The sequence below is a fragment of the Homo sapiens genome, chromosome 10 (assembly GCF_000001405.40).
Source record: "Homo sapiens chromosome 10, GRCh38.p14 Primary Assembly".
Taxonomy (NCBI): Eukaryota; Metazoa; Chordata; class Mammalia; order Primates; family Hominidae; genus Homo; species Homo sapiens.
In genome coordinates this window covers 129,855,854-129,876,460 of record NC_000010.11, presented here as the reverse complement: position 1 = coordinate 129,876,460, position 20,607 = coordinate 129,855,854, and the positions used below count along the sequence as shown (strand labels likewise).

Here is a 20,607-nt window from a genome sequence, read left to right as displayed (position 1 = left end):
TTGGGTCTGCTTCCATTTGTCACGCACTAGGCTTCACAGGATACTGGTGATATTGATCCTTCTAAGCAGAATGGAAGTCAGGCAGGGCTGAGGGGCTGTGTCCTCTTTGTCTCACCAATGACTGAACACAGCGTCAGTTACAGGTGATCTCGTGGTTGACTGCAGACCCCGTAGTTACTAGAACTTCCTCTGGTCTCTTTAGCTGAGCCCCATGCCTCTCAGAAGGTGTAACTGACCTAGGAGGATGGCAGTGCTTACACAATAGTTTCAGCTGCTTTCACAATCTCAGCAGCTTTCTGTAGGTGCTACAGCCCAGGTGAGACACAGAGCACAGCTTGCCTGCTCTCTCTGCTGAACTACACTCTTTACCCTTCGTGGCTGACCTATATGTAGATGACTGCAAAGCCTGTGTCTTTAAAAACTTTTTAAATTTGTTTTTACTTTTTCATGTTTCTTTAACCTATCATGTTTAGGAACGTAAAAAGGGTTAAGTCTGCACCTCAGTGTTAGTTACGCATCTTTGCATCATATTCAGATAATGCATTTGTAGAGTGTCTTCAATGCCCAGGGCTGGGCCTGGGAGGTAGAACACAAGGGGGGCACCTGGGTGACCAGGAACAGGCCTTGGCTCCTCCAGGCAGAGGCTGCCAGGCCCACTCGTGGTACCAAAGGGGCAGCAAAGCCACCTCCCACCAGGGCTGCAAAGGGCAAAGCCAGTGGGCAGTGGTCAAAAAAGGAGGGTGCTGAGATACCCAAGGCTGGACCTGGGATGCTGGGCCAGCACTTATAACCTTTTGAGGTTCTGGGTGGCTTGACACTGTTGCGACCTCAACAATCCTGGCAGTGGCCAAGGGGAAGAAATGCCAGGGAAGCTGCCCCCGATGAGGGCATTTGGGTGGGATGCGTGTGTACCGCCCCTGCTGCATCATCATCTTGTGGAGTCTGAGATTTAAAACGAAAAAGCCGGCCGGGCGCGGTGGCTCACGCCGGTCATCCCAGCACTTTGAGAGGCTGAGGCGGGTGGATCACAAGGTCAGGAGTTTGAGACCAGCCTGGCCAACATGATGAAACCCCATCTCTACTACAAATGCCAAAAAATTAGCCAGGTGCAGTGGCAGTGCTTGTAATCCCAGCTACTAGGGAGGCTGAGGAAGGAGAATGGCTTGAACCCAGGAGGCGGAGGTTGGGGTGAGCTGAGATCGTGCCACTGCACTCCAGCCTGGGCAACAGAGCGAGACTCCATCTCAAAAAAAAAAAAAAAAAAAAAAAAAAAGAAGAAGCCATCACTTGCACATGTATTCATATATAAACATAAGCTTTGGCTTCTTTGTTAAACCCCTGAAAATACTACTTATTTGTATGTTTAATTATTTTATATTCAGTGACTCATTGAATACAATGAATTGTATTCATTTTGTATTAGGTAACTAGTTTAATTATTTTATTAATAGGCTTTATTTTTCTTAGAGAAGTTTAGGTTTAAAAACAATTTCGCAGAAAGTACAGAGATCGCCCGTGTACCCCCGTGCGCCCCTCCCCCTGGTTTCCCCGATTATGCTGGTGCAGGGGATTCCTTACATGTGCGGACCCAACACTGATGTGTCGCGATTCACTAAGGCCTATGGTGGCCTTGGCTTTTAAGCTCATTTTGCATGGCGTGCTTTGTCTGGGCCTTGCAGGGAAGGTGTACCCTGACTGGGAACCCCTTCCGCTTCTCCACTCACGTGCAACCACCGCACAATTCTCTGTAGGGCTGTGGTTCCCTCGGGTGGTGCTGACTCAAAGACATGGCCGAGTGTGCCCAAACTGTGGCAGAGAGCCACCCTTCCTTCAGGTCAGAGCTGGGCTGAAGCTCCAGGAGTGCTTCTGCAAGACCCAGATGAAACCTGGCCTCAGATCTTTGCAGCTCCAGCTAGTCCGGGATGAATGCACCACCTCTGTTAAAGAAAGCTCAGGGCCAGGTTGTCATTTCCTGGTTCCTGGGTCCATTCAGGGATGCCATTTCTGGATGTTTGTGGCAAGCTCCCCTGGGCAGGTCTATGGAGTCTGCAAGGCCATCCCTGCCTGGCCCTTTTCGTTTCTCCCTCTACCACGAGGCAGCTGAGGGCTTAAGAGGGCCTGATCTGTGATCTCTCCCCTCGACATCCTTTGTGCCTGGACCTAAGAATGGAAGCCTCTCACCGCAACAGAGAGGACATTCCCTTGGCATACCAGGGTCCTTGCCAGCCTTTGCAATGAACTTGAGAAAGAATACCTTTCCAGGATTGAAAACACTCCCACTATTCATATTCAACTCAGTCTTTTCAGATGAAAAAAAGTTCATTACCAGACATTAAATGTAATTGTAAAATTGACCCAGGGATCGTTTCCTGATAAAATGTGGGCAGTAGGAATGTTCCTGATTTATGAAGCCTTTTTTGGGCAACTCTGAATCCTCCCAGCTCTTCAAGGGAGGCCAGTCTCAAGTGAACTCATTTTAATTAGATAAACTTTCTAATCAATATGTGAACAGATCAATCAAAACAGCGGCTTTAAAATGAGTGGCTAGAGGGGTGTTTCTGAAGCTAATGGCTAGAAGAATATTTCTCTGAATTGAATTCACTTGTTAGCATAATAGGAGATTAAACTGTAATTAGTGGAGCAGGTTTTGAAGAGAAGCAATCTTGAGTCAAAACAAAACAAACAAAACAACCCACCCACCCCCATTAGCCAAAAAAGCTGTGAACGCACATCGATCAACAGTGTCCAGGAACACGTGAAATTTCCTTGTGCTCTGCAGTATTTAAGATGGCTTGTATTTTGCCTAACAGGGGGCTCTGCTTTTCTTTGCCAATTCCATTTTCAAATCCACTTCATCTTTGCAGGTTGTTGTATCGACAACAGTCAACGTGGACGGCCACGTGCTGGCCGTGTCAGACAACATGTTTGTGCACAACAATTCCAAACACGGGAGGCGGGCCCGCCGCCTAGACCCGTCAGAAGGTACGGCCCCTTCTTATCTGGAAAATGGTAGGCACATGTTACATGTCTTTTTTTATTTGCGATGCTTCTTTTTCTTTGCACCATCCTTTATGTTCATTCATGTGGAGTTACTCTCACCAGGCCCCCGCCCTTGGTCAGACCTCCTGCACCAAGGCAGGATGAGGGGGTGTCCCCGAGGTGGAAGGGGAGACAGCCCTCCTAGGCTTTCTCTTCTCCTTTATTGAACAGCGGGACTTTCCCATTCACCTGCCACGGCCTTCATGTTTCCAGGCGTTCTTTTGCTTACTGCTTTTCTTGCGATTTTAATTTATTTGGTTTTATTTTGGTTTGTCGGAAGCGCCCATCCAGAAGCTCATACCCAGATACCTCGTGCAGGCCCAGTGGGTGGTTACATCCTGGTCCAGTCAGCTCCGAAGGGACAGGACCATTTCCTGTCCCTGGCTGGAGTGCGTGTGCATGTGATCCACGTGTATGTGCGTGTTCACACAAGAGTGGGGGCAAGGAGGAGGGGGTGAAATACCAACCAGCATACGTTTTTTTTTTTAACCAAATGCTTTCAATTGATTGACTTCTTATTTTGTTTGTTAAAAGAGAAGGGTTTCCATAAGGGTGGTAGGTAGGGAGAAAGGTTCTTGGATATCAGGTCGGAATGCAGAAAGACTCAGACACAGTGGGCCTTGCGCCGAGCCCCTCAGGCACATCCCACTTTGTGCTCTGCACAGCACCCACAATTGAACACATCCCCTTTAGAATAAGAGCCACTTCCCCCATTAAACATTTCATAATAATTACGAGATTCTGACCAATATGAATTGTGGAGAAAGTAATGTGAGTGTTTTTTTAAGTGAATTGCAAACAAAACAGCATGATCGAATCCTTTAGAGCAAAGAGCCTGTAAAACTAAATGGTTTTAAGACAAATCCTCTATCCCGAGGTCCCACATTCGAGAGCCACACACGAGGCAGACAGATGCACGCACAGGAAAATGAATGAAGCGTGTGCAGATTATCAGCGTGAAATATAATTCAGACAAAAACTGGAAGACAATTTATGAATCTGCTGTGGTCCACAAAAATAAACTAATTTGTTTTTCTACATTAATGACTAAGGTATAAGAGAACAAAAATATAATAATTAAAGGTCGCCCTAAGCACCGATGTCATTAGAGCCTGTGACGTATTGTTTATCTCCTTCCCATGCACTGAAGGTAGGTGTGTGTTTTGCTTAGCAACCGTCACTAATGAGGTTCACAATTAAGAAGGTTGAATCCCCGGTCCTCAGTTCCTCGCTTCCCTAGAGAGTGGAGCTTTCACGCAATAGGTTCAAGGGGCCTCCCCAGCCCTCTGGTGTTAGGTTGTAGTCTAGGTCCAAAATCAGCCTCCTCTAATGAGCTATTATGATCTGAGCAAAGTACAAGTATTTATTTTTGTAAGTAGCATGAAAAAGCATTTGACTGTAAGCAGAAAATGTAGCGTTTAGAGAAATAAAGGCCACTAGTGGGTACCTTGGAGATAAAACCCAACTAATCAAAAGCTATTTGCAGAAGCAGTCTTGCTCAGGATTTTTTCCTGTTTGTTTCTCGACATTTAAACCAAGTCAGTTCCTTGCAAGAGATTGAAATATCTTGTCCCACCCTAGAAAGTGACTACTAATTTAAAAATGCCAATAGGGTGACTCTGAGGACTAGCATAGACAGATCGTTAAGAAAAAGGCATTTGTCATAAATAGTAGGGTTATTTATTTTTTTGTAATTAATACCCAGTTATCAAGTGCCCTAGAAAAAAATGGCAGGGCTTATGCTTCTGTCACTTCCTGAGAGAGTTGACACTTAGGAAGTTCCTTTTAAGTCTGCGCATATTTGTCCCCCAAACCCCTTCCCTCCTTCTGCCTGCTCAGGACAGATTGCAGGGGTGGGAGGCTGGCTCTACATCAGTCCCACATCCTTTAAGGAAAGTGCCCCCCAAAACCGCAGATCTGTGCTTGCGTGCAGCCTCTCCTAGCTAACACCTCATTATCCAATCATCTAATATTCACCAGCAGTGTGTACACAGTCGCTGATGGTTTCCAAGTAAACGAATTCCCCCTGCTGCTGCTGTGGATGTCTGCCACGGCGTCCTTTGAGCTCACAAAAAGCAAGGCAGATTATTTACAGTATTGAACACAAGTGAGGGAAAACAACCATTCTCCCTTTCAGCACAACACAGTAGAACTCAGGCTTTAATTTTTTTTCCTTGTCACTTGTCCCCTCGTAAACGACTCCAACCCTGTTTAAACCTTCCGCGAGCCCTGCCCAGCACCCGGCCTGCAGCACAGAAGCGATTTGCATGCCAAGTGCCGTAATGCGGTTAGGTTTATGCAATAAGGACAACTGAATCCAGGCTGCGGGGCTTTAGCGAGTTAAAGCGAACAGATGGCCCTAGGAGAGGTAAAGGTATAATCCTATCAGCTGGAGTATCAGCCAGCCATCTGGACATCCCAAGCACAATTACAAGACATTTTAGCAGGCAGAACAAAGAAGTCTTCATGAGGCAAGATTAGGCCTGTTTGAGTGCCTCAATATTGTGAATGCAGAGGAAGGTGACAAATGCTGTGATATTACTCAGGAGGGCTGATTAATGGGACCAGGCTGGGGAAGCTGTTTACTAATAGAATACTGGATAGGGTGGAGAGACCCCAAAAGAAAGGAAAAAAACCCAAAGATATGGGTCTCCAACACGGGTTTCCAAGTTGAGTCACGCTCCCGTTTTGACATGCTCATCCCAGCCATTGGGCTCCCTGGCCACAGGATAAGCCAGTCCCCGCAGGCCCTGGGGAGAGCCGGCGGGGGTCACGATGGGCAGAGGGTGTTCCTTGTGAGCGCCTCTTCTCCCAAGTAGCTGAGAGGATCCTCAGAGTTAAAAACAGGTCATGGTGGCGCATGTCAGATCCGCAGGGGAGACTCGCCACGCCTCCTTTCTCTGGACCCTGGCAGCTCGGGGCCCCAGGAGGGTGGGCCACGCTGAAAGCTGCAGACCAGGATCTGTCTTCAGGGATGCCTCCCATCACAGGGCCAGGCCGGGAAAGAGATGGGGAGTGTGGGGGCTCCCTGTCCCCACTGCTTCCCTGCTCCTCCTCTGCCATCTTCAGCTGCCGGGCCCAGCTCCTGTCATCTGCTTGAGTGTATTGTGCGCGTATATCATTAGATCTCTAACGCTGTCTGTGTAATTCATTTTGCTATGGTTCCCATTGAACACATGTTCCCTCTCTATATGTGCACTGAAATGTATGCAAATACAGGCAGAAGGAAGATGGCTATCACTGTGGAGGAGGCCAAGGCAGGCCCGTGTTTTCTTTCCGCTGAGAAGCACTACAAATTCCGAGATGATGTGGCTTTCCACTGGGCCACAGCTGCCAGATAGCAGTCTCTTGTGCATGCAGTAGATCCTGGATTCTTTTTTTCTTTTCTCACCTCCAAAGTAAATTTGTTTACTGTAATTTTTTTTTTTTGTGAATTATTTGCCATAATTGGCTGTGCTGATGAAGGTCACCCCCTTGGAGGAGACTTGTCAGTCTTTAGAGAGCTGATCCTTTTCAAATGCTCTCCATGCAATTAAGAAAAGCAAATGTCATTCGGAAGCCTCAGAAATGAAAATTTGTATGAACTTATTAGCATGAAGTCAACAGCGCTAGTTAAGGGCAGGTTCCCAGTGTGTGCTCTGCGCCTCTGCTGCGGAGGGAGATGCGCGTGGAATGAGCAAATATAACCCCCGCTAGTCCAACATTAAAGCAAACAAAGGAAGGTGGCATGTCGGCGGTGTGCTAAACAACAATAGCTAATGGTGATTAACTAGACAGTGTCTGCACGGCGCTGCCTCTGACCTGTCAGGGAAACCACGGCACGCGGGCTTCCGGAAAACTCCCGCTTATGAAGATGTGCAACCGGATCTGACCCAGAGTCTAAAAAGATGATTTATCTGAAGCCGAGCTGCACAGGGGCTCAAATAAGATGAACAACCTAATAAGGCCCCAAGATGTCCTTTGGAGGGCTCTTGTCTGCAGCTGGAGAGCCGTGGGGGAGCAAAGCCAGGAGCTGGCGGGGTGGTGGGGGGCGGGTGGCTTGGTTAAGCCACTAATTGTTTACCAAGCTTAGTTACTACATTTTTGGGCCAGTAGCCCTCGAGGTTGCTGTGAGCGACGGAAGGGCACCAAAACAGCAAGGGTACTCCTCGGGCCTCAGGGTTGAGTCCCTTATTCTAGGGTTCATCTTTAACCCCCAACACCCCCAAATGCTAAGGCAGGACAAAGAAGGGATGCCACCTCTGGGTGTCCCAGGGCTTAGTGTAGAGGCTTCCTCTTCTCTTGGAGGACTGAGGCCTGGGCCTCCCGCCATTTAGGGTGTAATTGTGTCCAAACATCAGCAAGGAGACCTGTACATCGAAGAGGCCACCTGGCAACCATTACAGAGGCCTACATGGCCCATTCTTCCTTGTGCACCAAAGGTAACCTCCCAGCTCACCTAAAGGGTAGAGTAGTCTGAGGGTCCTGAGGATAGTGTCCTGGCCCGGGCTGCGGAAGCCCTGCAGGTGACAGGCTCCGAGGCTTTGGCAGGCGTGGGCAGGCATGCAAACAACCCCTCCTTTGCATGGGAGCCCATGTACAAGAGGCCATCAAAGGCAGTTTAAAAGGTCTGCCAACACCATGTAAAGGAAGGGCTGATCAAAGCCGGCCTCCACCAGGCCTGCAGCCCTCAGCCCCGGCCCTGGCCTCCTGCTCAAGGCTGCCGAGGGCACCGTGCTGGGACTCCTGCCTGCCTGTCTCCCTGGGCTGTGGCCTCTTGGTCCCCTCCCCCCTGCACCCTCCTTCTGCTGTCTGTGTGCCCCCAACCCCTCCCGCCCCAGCAGGGCTGCCTCTGCGGCCGGTGCAGCAGCACCATTGTAATAACTCATGCAAATGCGAGAGCTCCCGAGACAAAGAGAGGTCACGCCAGCGGCGCGGGGATCCCTGTCGACAAACAATATTAGATGTAAAATGTGTACCTTTGACAAAAGTATTAATATAGTGCCTTTGATTTTTTTTCCTGATGAAAAGTGAAAAGTAGTAATTGTGGAGTGACAGAGGAAAATGAAGTTTTGAACTAAAAGGCAAAGTTCGCGGATGAAAAAACCCAACCCAATTAGCTGCTTATGAGGAATCGAAATGCAAGGCATTTGCTCTTCCATCTCCTTCAACAACCTTTTGATTGACTCTGCTTAGATCTGTACAGCAAAGCAGATAAATCGACATGCCACATGCATGCAATGCTTAATCATTTGTAATAGTCATATTTGCGCTGACACATAATTTGCTATATCAAGCCATTTTTTTCTCGCTCACTAGTATTCCGCAGCTCGGCCTTTCCTTTATAAAACATTTAATAGTTTGCTTTAAACACATCAACATGCTGATCTACGGTTGCCCTTTGCGTGCCGCCTGGAGGAACGGCGCGCCTCTCCTCCCGCGGTGGCCGCGGGACGCGCGGTGGCCGAGCGGCCCAGCGTCGGAGGAGGACGGGGCTCTAAGGTCTGCCTTCTCTGTCTTGTGTGAGCAGCCACTCCGTGCATCAAGGCCATCAGTCCCAGTGAAGGCTGGACCACGGGGGGTGCCACCGTCATCATAATTGGCGACAACTTCTTTGACGGGCTGCAAGTTGTATTCGGAACTATGTTGGTGTGGAGCGAGGTAAGCCCGCGGACTCGGTCAGCTTCGCGCTGTTGCTGTCTTCATGAATGGATTTGACAAGCTGTCAATAGTGTATTGACACAAGGTGCCCTATGGCAAATTCCCCTTTTAACACACTGCACTGTTCGCCTGTGGCAGCAGCTTCTCCCGTGGGTGGCTACGGAACACCCCCCTGCCCTGCAGCCCTGGGGTTTAAAACCTGCCATCGAGGTCCCCCGTCCACTGGAACAATTAGTGCTAGAATTACGAGAAGCAGGTTTAAGGAGACATATGGTGGCAATTTTCATATGAATGATGCCCTGTGGCCTTTCCTGCAAACTAAAACCTGGGATCATTTGCAGATATTTTTCTTAAAAAACACTGTAGGTCCCGGGACTCTGGGTGACAGCTAGGAGGGGGCATTCCAAGACGATGGTCCAATTTGTGCTCATTTTGGTAATTATATCCAACTGGCAAGTGTCCGCCTCTCATAGCCAGCGCCGCTGAGCGCCTGTTCACCGTGTGGTTTTTGTAGCTGATAACTCCCCATGCCATCCGAGTCCAGACCCCGCCGAGGCACATTCCTGGCGTCGTCGAAGTGACCCTCTCCTACAAATCCAAGCAGTTCTGCAAAGGTGCTCCTGGGCGCTTTGTCTACACCGGTGAGTTCACAGCTCCAGCTTCTGCGGGAAAGCGGTAGAGGCCTCCTCCCCACCAGGAGGTGCTCATGAGGGCACGGGAGGACTGTACAGAGAGGGCAGGGGTCTGTGGAAAGACAGACAAAGCCCCCTTGGCCTGTGGGTTTAGCTGGATATGCAGTTTCCACATCTTTGTTTGAGATGGCGTATGAAGCCGTGGATGGGGCAGCCCCCGTGGCTGTGTGACCTTCGGTACCTCTCTCCCTTTGTGGGGCTTCTCACCTGTAAACAAAGTGGCAGGGGGAGTCATTAGGAACAACAGCCACCCAGCTACCACTGCGGCAGCTGCCCACATGCCTGGCTCCATGTGGGGCTAGGGGCCGTGTGTCCACCGGTCTCTATGCCTCTTCCCCGTGGTGTCACTGCTGTTCTCCTGCACAGGCCGAGGCTCAGAGAGGTGATGAAGTCAGTGCCCGGGCCACACCCCGGGTAAATGCAAGGCCCATGTAAGCCTGGTCTTTCTTGCTCCAGCCTGGGGTCTTGAACCCTGCATGACGCTGCTTCCTAAAGGAGATCCGTATTCTTTGAGGGTGCGGGACAGACTCCTGTCAGCAGGAAGTGTGGCCTATGCAGTTACACATGCTTGCTATCTTACAGTTGTTCTATACAATGCTTTGTCCACTCAAGGGCTGAATTAGCCCCACTTGTTCGGGATTGCTGTTGAGAAATGCCGTAACTAAACTTCAAATTGGCTGGGCATGTTGGCTCACACCTGTGATCCCAACACTTTGAAAGGCAGGAGAATCACTTGAGTGCAGGAGTTCAAGACCAGCCTGGGCAACAGGGCAAAACCCTGTCTCTACAAAAATTTAAAAATTAGTGGGGCATGGTGGTGTATGCCTGTGGTCCTAGCTACTCAGGATGGTGAGGTGGGAGGATCACCTGAGCCCGGGAGGTCAAGGCTGCAGTGAACCTTGATTGAGCTACTGGACTTCAGCCTGGGTGACAAAGCAAGACCCTATCTCAAAACAAACAACTCACTTCAACTTAAGGCATGTTTGCATTTTGATTTCTAATCTTAGCCAACTCCAAAGGCTGTGACATTTGAGAGATGTTTTTAATGATGGACAGTGCCTGCTGGAACCGAGTGACAGTGAGCAAGATGAATACTTACTATCTGTGGGCTTGACCTGCATGTGCAGTGGCTGGGTGACTGTGGCCTGGTGTCCTGGGGTGGCCATGAGGACCACAGCAGGAACCTGGACTAGAGGATGGGGCTTCAACTCCTGCCATCACCACCTGAAGGACGCCCAATGGGACACAGTCCTCTCCTCTGTCCAGAGAGCGGGTGACATGGAGGATGCTAAGCCCCCTCTGCTTTCAGAAGGTTTAAAGAGGCAATAGACGTCCTTCAGCCTCTTCCCTTCTTAGGAAGGACGGAGTGAGCAAGAAAGGCAAGATATAAATCCTGCCGCTGCCCACTGTACATCAGGCCCAGCGTCACCCCAGGGTGTGCCTGGATGGGTCTTGGTGGCAGGCCAGGGCTGCTGTCCCAGAGGTGTCCAGTCGACAGCTCAGCACTCTCCATGTGGTTAGGATGGGAGAGGCAGTGCCTGCCCCACACTAGGGGCCACCTTCTGTGGGACCAGCACACACAGGACCAGGCGCTCAGGAGCTGCCAGAAGACCACAGGGGAGGTGGGCATAGCAAAGAGCTGATGTCCGGACACCTCTTGGCTTCCATGTAAGACTCTGAGATGGAGAGAGGGCTGCTCCTCTAGGTTTTGGAATCCCAGTGTTTTAAAAAAATAAAGACATGTCACAATGGGGTTCAAAAAATTGGGGAACCTTTTAAACACTTATATACACTTCAACAATTAAGAACTTTTGCTGTGCAACAAAGTGCAGCATCTGTAGGCCCCAGGTACCTGGGAAAGGCGAGATGTCAGAATCCCACCGTGGGCTGGGGGGTCCTTTCTGGCACCTTGCCGGTGTGTGCTGAAGCCACACGGTGCACATTTCCACATGCCTCCTGTGCAAACTGTTGGTATGTGTACCACATGCCCCTGAGTCCCTTGGCACATCTGGCTGTAGAGGCTGTAGGCCCCGTGCAAAGACCTGGTGTTTGCAGACAGACTGGGACCTGGGCATATGCTTACTCCTGTGGTCCCAATTTCTCCTCTGCTCTATCTGGCAAGGTTTTGGCAAGGATCGGGGATGACTTATGTACAGTGTCTAACACATGGCAGGCACTCCATAAATGGTCCTTCCTGTGGAAAGTCACTGAGGGTGAACTTCGGCTGGGTTCTGTGGGACTCTGCTCGAGTCCTGAGCTCCTTAGGAAAGCGGGTGTTGATTATTGCTTGTGAGCCATGGAGCAGCACCTGAGCTTCGGCGGGCACATGGCAGGGGTGGGCTCCTGTGTAGGTGCCTGTGTCTGCTGCGGGGTCCTGGTTTGTGACATGAAAGTGACATGTGTTTGCATGTGGCAAGACTGACTTCCTCTGCACAAAAATGGATGAATAAGCCCCCTGTTCTTACACTGGACTGTCAGCCCATCCCGGATGAATGCTTTAGTGGATGCCTTCAGTGGATCCTTTCATGAGTTCAGATCTTTGCATATGTGGGCTTTTTGGTGGGGAAGTCTGCACAGCTATTGTTAGAAATGAGACTTTTTTAAGAAAGAAGATTGCTGAAAGGTCCAGTCCTTTCTTTGCACTTTGCCTGCTGTCTCCTGGGGATTCTGTCCCCAGTGCTGCAGAGAAAGGCCTTGGGCTGTGCATTTGGAGACAGTTGCGGATGTGTAGGGTGGGAGGAGCTGCCTGTCACTGGCTGGCAGGTATCACATGGTGTGGCGGAGCCTGTGATGTCAGCGTCCCCCCAATTCCCAGCATGGCCGGGCCCTGCTTTTGCTGCTCTGGGGCTGGTGCAGGGAGGGGGCAGCTCTCTCCTGTCTGTAGCCTGTTCCTGTTGCCCTCCAGCCAGGTAGGATGCCTTCCTTGGCCAGGGATATCCTCTCCAGGTCTCATATCCTCCTACTAAGGGACCAGTGGACCCCTTAGTTCCAGCCCCCACCCAGCCTGTCCAAGTGCCCACCTTCTATATCTGCAGCCCATATTGTGCCCACTCTGGGGCTGACTGGGCTTCTCAGGCACAAGCTCAGGGTCCTGGCTGCCCGAAGCTTCAGGGATTTCCTCCATCGAGACATGCTCCCATGAGTGGGTGTTTGGTGATGCTTGCCACAGCCCAGCCTTTCCTGGCTGGAGGTTAACCTATTGGCTCCCCCACACCCCAGTCATTAACAGGAATATCCATTTCAAAGGTGATGTAAGGGATACAGGCTCTACAGGCTGGGGAGCAGAGGAAAGGTAGGGTCATGACCTGTCTGACCTGGAAGCTTCTGTCTGATTTGCATTGCCCCAAAATTGATGGGGACAATGAGGTAATCACCGGGAATTGCACTCCCCCGCTGAAAACTGAGCCAGCCCCTTTGCATGTCACGACGTAGGCACCGTCCCCTGGGCGTCTGGTTCCCATCAGTGTCCCCCAGCCCCGGAGGCTGCCGGGACACCCTCACATTTAACCTTCCCCACGTGAGGCCGGCTGGGGCCGCCAGGCGGAGGGCTAATGAACCTGTGCTCAGAGGAGGGGCCGCCCGCCAGAGGCTGGGAGGGGCTTTGCAAAGGGCCTCAATGATCTGTTTACAGTGATCTGAGAAACACCAGATTTTTCTGAACCAGACCCTATTAGTCAACCCCGAGTGGGAAGGGGAAGGCAGGCCAGGCCCCATCCATCCAGGCCCTTTTGCCTGCTGCTTTCAACTCCTATAAAGACACAATTACCTTGGGAGGCTGTGGCGGTTCAGTTGATTAGCACGGTGAATTAAAAGAATGAGTCACAAATGACATGTCCAGCGCTTCCATACTGGTTCTTTGTATTCCCATGTGCCTCACCCTGTTGTAAGAAGGTCAGAAATTAGAGAGAGAGAACAATTTTCAAGCGGCTAGCACTTAGGAGCAGAATTAACAATCACTCTGTATGTAATTGCCAGTTAATAGTAAATTGCCTTCTAGACTGTAAAATGCAATATAAACTGGTGGGCACCTAAAATTAAATTAATGAGATATTTGCTGCATTTAAAAGTAAATAGTGCAAATTAATAACTGAGTGCAATGCTTGTTTTAATATTTGTCTAACAGTGTGCCATTTGCTTGTTTAATAGTAATTAAAATAGTCCCAGAATGTCCTACCTGAGAAACTCGCAGTATACACAAATTGGGCAGTTTCGCATTTATAATTTCACCCGTAGAAACGCATCAAATGGTTAAGAGTAATAAAAGAAATTATTTTTTAATTAGAATATAAGCATTACAGTGTTATTTGATTAAGACAGATTGGAATTTGTATGCATCTAATTGAAATTATGTTACTGAGGAAACTACTTTCATAGACATGTTTTCAAGTGTGAAGCATCATGGCACAAATGCGTGTGTTACTGTTTTCCAACAGTGTCCATTTGGCAGAATGGTTTCCTATTAAACAAAAGCACTGAGGCCGGTTGGGAGAGGTGGCTTGACTTCCAGCATCATTCATGGGACCCTGGGGACGTGGCTGGGTCGGGTGTTCTTACTCTTGGTTTCTTGCACCCGGATGGTTGATTGACCCACCCTCCTTTTAGAGATTTCTTTTGCTCGATTAAAGAAATTACCACAAATTACTGGGAGTCAACATGTTGTCTGCGACAGACTGAACCCAGTTACTAAACAAGATATTGGCAGTCGATAGCAACCACATCCGAAGTGGACACAGGGAGCTCTTGACGGCGGAATACCTGGACCGCTCCCAGCCCTGGGATGCAGTTACTAGATGGGAACATAAAAGTGATTATTTTCTGCACAAGGACGTTCATTCAGCTTCAGGCTTATGAAATCGTTACTCAACCAGTAATTGCTAACAGTTTCTGTTCTTTCTGATACAGTATTTATGGTTTACTTTCCTTCTTCTTTCTTTTAAAGTCATAATGTGCCTTAAAACTGGCAGTGTGTCAAGGGGCGACGCTGTGTCCTCCAGGGCTGTCCTGGCCCTGGGTGAGGGTTTCTCCCGTGTCTCCTGGCGGGTGTCCACAATTTAGTCCCACTTCACTCCCCTTGTGAAAGCACTCATGGTTCTTAAGTGTGTTAAAGATCTTTTGTGTGCATTGAGAGGCGGTCCCGTCAGCACTGCGGAGTCGACTGTGCCCTTCGACCACGCCAGCCCCAGCTTGCTGTCTCCCAGGCCGGTGCTCCTCAAACAAATTACTTGGATGCACAGAGCAAATGATGCTTAATTGCCGCCCACAAATCATACTATTTTTACTATGCTCAACTCAATGCTAATGCCTTCCTTCCATGTAAACCACATGCTTTCCTCATGGGTCCTGGAGTTTGGGGAATCTTTGGCTCAATTCTGTCAGTGACTCTCATCATCCCGTGGTGTGGCCAGGGGCCCCCCGTGGCTGACTGTTCGTTCCTGTCTGCAGTGGGCCCTCCTGCAGCCACACTGGCTGTCCTGCTTCAAACCTACCAGTCAATGGTGTCCAAGGATGTCTGTGTCCCCCCCATGATCCCCAGTGAACCCCCCAAGAATAGACACCCTCCAGGCACCTTTGCTTTTCTATCAGGTTGGTTCTATCAGAGAATAGCTTGGGTCTGTGTGTTCAGCTCAGGCTGACTCTGGACCTGCCCAGAATCGGGATAATCACAAGATAATGCGTGACTCCAACAACACAACTTCTCCTGACGCCACTTTAGTTTTTGTCCTTTGTTTAAATATGGATGGCAAAGGGTGACTTTTTTTTTCGTACCAAGTGGGGTGGCGTGCATCTGTGCCTCAGCCCCTTCCCCTGGGAGTGAGGCCCACTGCCATCACTGGGGTCATTTCAAGGGTCCTCAGGGCCCCTTAGGCAGAGCCACAAAGGAAGGGAGGGAGGGCAGGCTCCCACCGCTGTCCTCCCCACTGCTACGGCACAGCATCAACCCAAACCATGATCAGTTAATCTGCCAGCATGCTAAGTGGGTGCTGGGGTGAGATTCGATAACACGGCCCTTTGAAGAGTGGGGCCGGGAGGGCTTCCAGGGTCACTGCTGTCCCCTCTCTTTCCTGTCTCCAAGGAGGCCAGGAGAATGAGACACACCGTTTGTGCTATTGCACAAGTAGACTATTTGTCCTAATCAGTGACACCCATTTACTAGAATTGCTTAAAATGAACTATACCTCATACAGAAATCGCACATTTAGAGAGTTCCATTCATCATCTGAAAATTGAGGGCCAGTAAACTTTTCTGCTCCTCCAGTGGGATCATAGGCATGCATCAACATGTTAAAAATGATTGGTGAGAGGGAGCTGTCACCCATTTATCAAGGAAAAGAACATTATTTGCTAATTTCCCAACCAGGCTGGTGACAGGGTGCTTCGTCTTTAGACCCACGGTGACCAGCATGGCCTTTTTGTTATTAGTACAAGTCAAGCGCTTTTGGGCTATTGCTAACAAGACACATTTGTCTGTCATCCGAGGGGGCTTTGGTCGTTTTCCAAGTGGCTGTGACCAAGTCTGCACCCTGCACCCCGATTGGCTGCTCTCATCGGGGCCACGCTAACCCAGGAGGAGAAATGAGCTGATAAATCACAAAGTTTCCATGTCAAGGTGAAGGTATTGACTCTTCAGCACCAAACCTGACAAAATGTAGCAGACAGGGGACGGCCATTCATCTTCCCCAAAGGACAAAAGGGTCATCTGGATTTCACTTGGTAATTGTTGGGTTGAGGATGGCAGAGGCGGGCCCGGCCCTCTTCCTGTTAAGCCCCCTGAGTAGGTGGGTCCTCTGGTCCCGCTCCTCACCCACCTTGCGATGGTCCTTCTCGGTGCTGCAGGGAGGAGAGTCGGGGGTAGAGCGGGATCACACTCCGGACTTTTGAGTTTCTGATTGAGTAGGACGTGCTTCTGAAAACAGCTTGGAGTGGGTCCAGGAGATGGTGTGGGACTGTGGGAGAAGAGCAGCAGACCATTTAGAACAAAATAAGTGTGATCACCTGAAGTGCAGAATAAAGCGGGGATAATAACATGTAAAATTAAATATCACAGATCACTCCAGCCACAACTCCCACAGGTTAAACTCTGAAGACCAAGGGAGACATCAGCACAAACATGTCGGTAGAGGACCTGAAACAGAAGTGCGTGGTTCTTTCAGCACCAAAGAGGAGGTGAAATAGATCACTCTGTTGTCCTGGAAAAATAGGAACAAGAACCAAACACTGCCTCTGTTTCTCTTTCTGGCTTATAAGTTACCAGTGCCTCAAGCTCCCTCCCACCAAATCTACACGGCTGGACATCAGGCCCAGTGCTAACAGCCCATGGCTGGAATCGATAGACTATGTTTCGCTCCAGCGTGTGCCCCGCCAGCTGGGTCAGTGACAGTGCTGGAGCCTGGCTGCTCGTGGTTTCATGTGAGGCTGTTTTTGGAGGGTCCTGAGACCTGTCTGTGCACGTTGGCTCTAGGCTGAGGCTTGGATTACAAAAGCCTAGCCTGAGAAAAAGTGCTTTTACAAAACTATCATTTCAATCAGTTGGGCCTTTTTAATTTGTTGTAGAAAATGCATAATGAGGCTAGGCGTGGTGGCTCATGCCTGTAATCCCAGCACTTTGGGAGGCTGAGGCGGGTGGATCACCTGAGGTCAGGAATTCAAGACCAGCCTGGCCAACATGGTAAAACCCTGTCTCTACTAAAAATACAAAAAAAATTAGCCAGGTGTGGTGGCGCACGCCTGTAGTCCCAACTACATGGGAGGCTGAGACGGGAGAATCTCTTGAACCCGGGAGGCGGAGGCTGCAGTGAGCCGAGATTGTGCCACCACACTCCAGCCTGAGCAAGATAGACTGAGACTCCATCTCCAAAACAAAAAAAAAGCAAAATGAGTAAAACGTAACTTTTGTCTTTTAGAGTGGCTTTGAAATAAAGCCACAACAACAAATAGAAGGCTGTCTGTCAGCGATGTGGACTGTTTGCTACACTAAAAGGCAAAATCAAAGTTTTCAGATGCTTTTCACGAGCACATGGAGCAACTTGACTTCACAAGGAACCTAAGTGCGTGCAGAGGGCACACTCTCGAAGGGTCATTACGGAGCGTGCGAAATTTTAAATAGAGAAGCTCCCGTTGAGATAGGAGGCCGTGGCAGATTTTGGTCAGCATTGGTGCAAATCATCTTGGGAGGAAAGTTTCTTAGAGGTACTGCGTGGCCGGGGTCATTCTTTTCTTCCTTTCCTTTCTGGATGCCACCCTCTCCCTGCACTCTTGAGATAGCCCTTTCTGTGTCTTCCCAGATAGAGAGCTTATAGCCTGGCACAGTGAGCCCTGGAGCCTCTGAGGCCTGGACCCGCACTCTAGGCATCTGAGGAAGCCTAAAGTCAGGAAATCCAGGGGGTCGGATTAGGGAGGGTGGATTCTGCGAGGTTTTTCTCCATCTTTTTACCTCCTTGTCTTCTCTAAAGGAGGCCCTTGGCTGGGAATCTCCCCACTGGCCCTTTTTGTCTCAGCCCCAGGCACCCAGGCTGGGGTCAGTCAGATGCTTGTTGATGGCCATCCCTTCTAGCCCTAGTTCGGAAGACCCACTTGGTGTTTTTCCTAAGGAACATGCTCACACTGCAGAAACATCCCACCCAAGCTTAGGCCTGTGGGCACTGAGCTTCCAAACAGGCACCAACCTGAGGGTGGCGGCTCCTCCAGGGCTCTTACGATGGAACAGCCTTCAGGACAGGTGGCATCGAGACTGCTTTACCACATGCTTGGCATCAGGCTGTGGCCTGTCCCAAACTAAAGACTGTAAACAGGCCATAGGCTAGGGTGGTGATTGTTTCAGAAGTCCACTGAGTCTTAATACCCTGTAAGGGAGAGAAACGTGTCACCGGCAGACACCACGGAGGGTATTGGGCTGCAGCTTCACATGCCCACTGCCCAGGGAAGCTGGCATTTGGTATGTACAACCCCAAGGACTGGGTTCCAGGCCATGCCCTGGCTTTGCTGTGGCACCATGATAGTGAACACCTGCCACGTGCCCGAGCCCCGTGTTCACCAGGGGACTGCTCCCCTTCCTCACCACCCCAGAGTCCACCAACATCGGTGATTCGCCTTTCCTGTGTATTTGCAAAATGCCAGCTGGCGGGAATGATCTGTAGGACAAGCGTAGTGTGAGCACGGTGTCTTATGTGAAGGTGTGGCGTGCTGTGGAAGCTCGCCATCAACATGGTTTGGAATCTGCCCCTGGCTCCCAGTGTTCTCCTACCTGGACACAGTAGGTGATACTGAGAGGCGGGGAAGCTACTGGTTCTCATAGGCGCTCATGGTGGGGGTATCAGGTGGGGTGACATACCTGCCCACCCGGCAGTGGGTCCCTTGCCAAGGGAAGTGACAGTCTCCATCCTGGCAGCCCGGGGCCTGGTATCTGGATGGCAGTTGGCACGTGTCTGGTGCAGAAGCCACATTTGCTATCACACTGACTTGAGGTCTTGCGGGAATGAAGCGGGACATGGAAAAGTTAATAAAATAGTCAAAATGGAGAAGGCACTCCATCCGATGACAAGAGGAGCAGATGAGGCGCTGGCAGATTTGAGAGGAGGGGCGCCCTGGGGAGATGGTTGGGAGGTGGCCGTAGAGGCTGTACCCCTGGAGGCTGAGCAGCAGGCGTTGAGGAGTTCCAGGCCAAGGAGTGCCAGCTGGGCATGGGGCTGTGAGGGGGGAGGCCCAGGGCTGGGTTGGGGGCTGCCGTGGCAAGAAGGAGGTCAGATGAGGACACGATGGCCTTCTGGTCCCAGTACACCTTGGCATTTGGGAACCCCTATGTGGAAATAGGACGGTTTTATAGGAGACACATAATCCAGCATGCTGTGTTCAAGGGCTGTGCTTTTGGGGATTCCAGTGTTTACATTAATCTTGGTGATGTCTTTAAAGCGTCTCTGCCTTAGAACATTCCTTTTCTTCTTTATGCAGCCTGAAAAACCAGGAGTTAAAAATGCCTCCATGGAGATTGAAAAGGGTAATAATGTTGGGAAACAGAGTTATGCTCCCTGAATGGGAATCGATTCCCCACACCAGGCCCTTCCCCCACTGCTGGGCTCTGTCTTGTTCACACCTGTGCGGAGCCCTGTGCTTTTACACAGGCACTGGACACATCTTTATTCTAAACGGCACTCCGGCCCTGGAAGATATTTCCTTAGTACAGATGGAGCTGGCACATATATTCTAATTCAGATGAGAAACGTTAGTTTCACTAAAAACACTGTATTTTGTTCACATATAATTCACATATTACAGAATTCACCCAAAGTATACAATTAAGTGGCTTTTCGTATATTCACAAAGTTTGTGCAACCATCAGTCTAATTCAACAATGTTTTCTTCACACGAAAAGGAACCCCGTGTCCACTAGCTGTTGCCCCATTCCTCCTTCCCTTGGGTAGCGTCTGTCTCTGGATCTGTCCTGGTCCCCAGAAGTGACAGCCGTAGAGAAGTGAGAGCATGGAGGGCAGCCTGTGCCTTGGTTTTCCTTTCCTGCCCTCCCCTAGCTCCTGGCAACCATGAATCTACCTCCTTTCCCTATCCATCTGCTTGTTCCAGATATTTCCTATAAATGGGGCCACACATTATATATAGTTCTTTGTGTCTGGCTTCTTTCACTTTGCGTGTTTTCCAGGCTCATCCCTGTTGTAACAGGTATCAAGGTTTTGCTCCTGTACATGGCTGAGTATTATTCCATTGTATGGATATACCACATTTTGTTTATCCATTCATTCATTGATGAACATTTGGATGTTATGGAAAACACTGCCAGGAACATGTGTGAATACATTTTTTTTTTGTGAACATATGGAAACATGACATTCACTTTGGCTTTTCAAAATTGAAAATGTGATACCTTCTGTGTTGGCCAGATGTCTCCAAGGGGCCTGCATTACTCATTACCTTGAACACCTACTGTGCACATCGCACTGAGTAGGGCAGGCACGTGGCAGAGGGTGACCTGTTGGGTGGCCTTCCTCCTATGGGGAGGGCAGATGCCTGAACAAGTGCATGGGGTGGCTGGGAACGTCCCCACGGGAGTGTGGCCCACCCCAGAGCACAGGACAGGGATGCCTCTGTCCTCAACCCTGGCAGGGACACCTCTGGCCTCGGGAGGGGCTTGGGCTTTGCCAACTCCTTTTTCTGTTTACCTCTGTGTGCAGATTTTCCGCTGGTTTAAAGTGTGCAAATCCATTGCTCAGAGGGTTCTCCACAGAGCATT

At 50.0% G+C, this 20,607-nt stretch overlaps 1 protein-coding gene and 1 long non-coding RNA gene across 17 annotated transcripts in view, besides 1 other annotated feature; one reads left to right on the top strand and one right to left on the bottom strand.

Annotated features, from left to right (window-relative positions):
* EBF3 (EBF transcription factor 3) overlaps positions 1–20,607 on the top strand; it is a 129,042-nt gene that overhangs the window by 87,814 nt on the left and 20,621 nt on the right. For 9 of the 16 annotated variants that reach the window (XM_017016027.1, XM_006717744.3, NM_001375391.1 and 6 more), the window contains 3 exons: positions 2,865–3,009; positions 8,549–8,679; positions 9,194–9,320. In XM_017016027.1, the coding sequence (XP_016871516.1) occupies positions 2,865–3,009; positions 8,549–8,679; positions 9,194–9,320 (403 nt within the window). The remainder of the gene's footprint in view (positions 1–2,864; positions 3,010–8,548; positions 8,680–9,193; positions 9,321–20,607) is intronic. The other 7 variants (XM_047424961.1, NM_001375392.1, NM_001005463.3 and 4 more) reach the window with 2 other exon arrangements.
* Positions 9,091–9,755: an enhancer, noted in NCBI's record as "H3K4me1 hESC enhancer chr10:131664970-131665634 (GRCh37/hg19 assembly coordinates)". NCBI's record gives its function as "activates a minimal SCP1, AML or CMV promoter by ChIP-STARR-seq in naive H9 embryonic stem cells {active_cell/tissue: H9 hESC(naive)}" and the evidence as "EXISTENCE:reporter gene assay evidence [ECO:0000049][PMID:30033119]".
* EBF3-AS1 (EBF3 antisense RNA 1) lies at positions 9,316–19,332 on the bottom strand. Its single transcript, XR_946466.3, has 5 exons — positions 18,700–19,332; positions 18,035–18,211; positions 16,178–16,315; positions 13,138–13,249; positions 9,316–9,578 (listed from the first exon to the last, which is right to left on the bottom strand). It is a non-coding gene; the product is annotated as an EBF3 antisense RNA 1 (long non-coding RNA).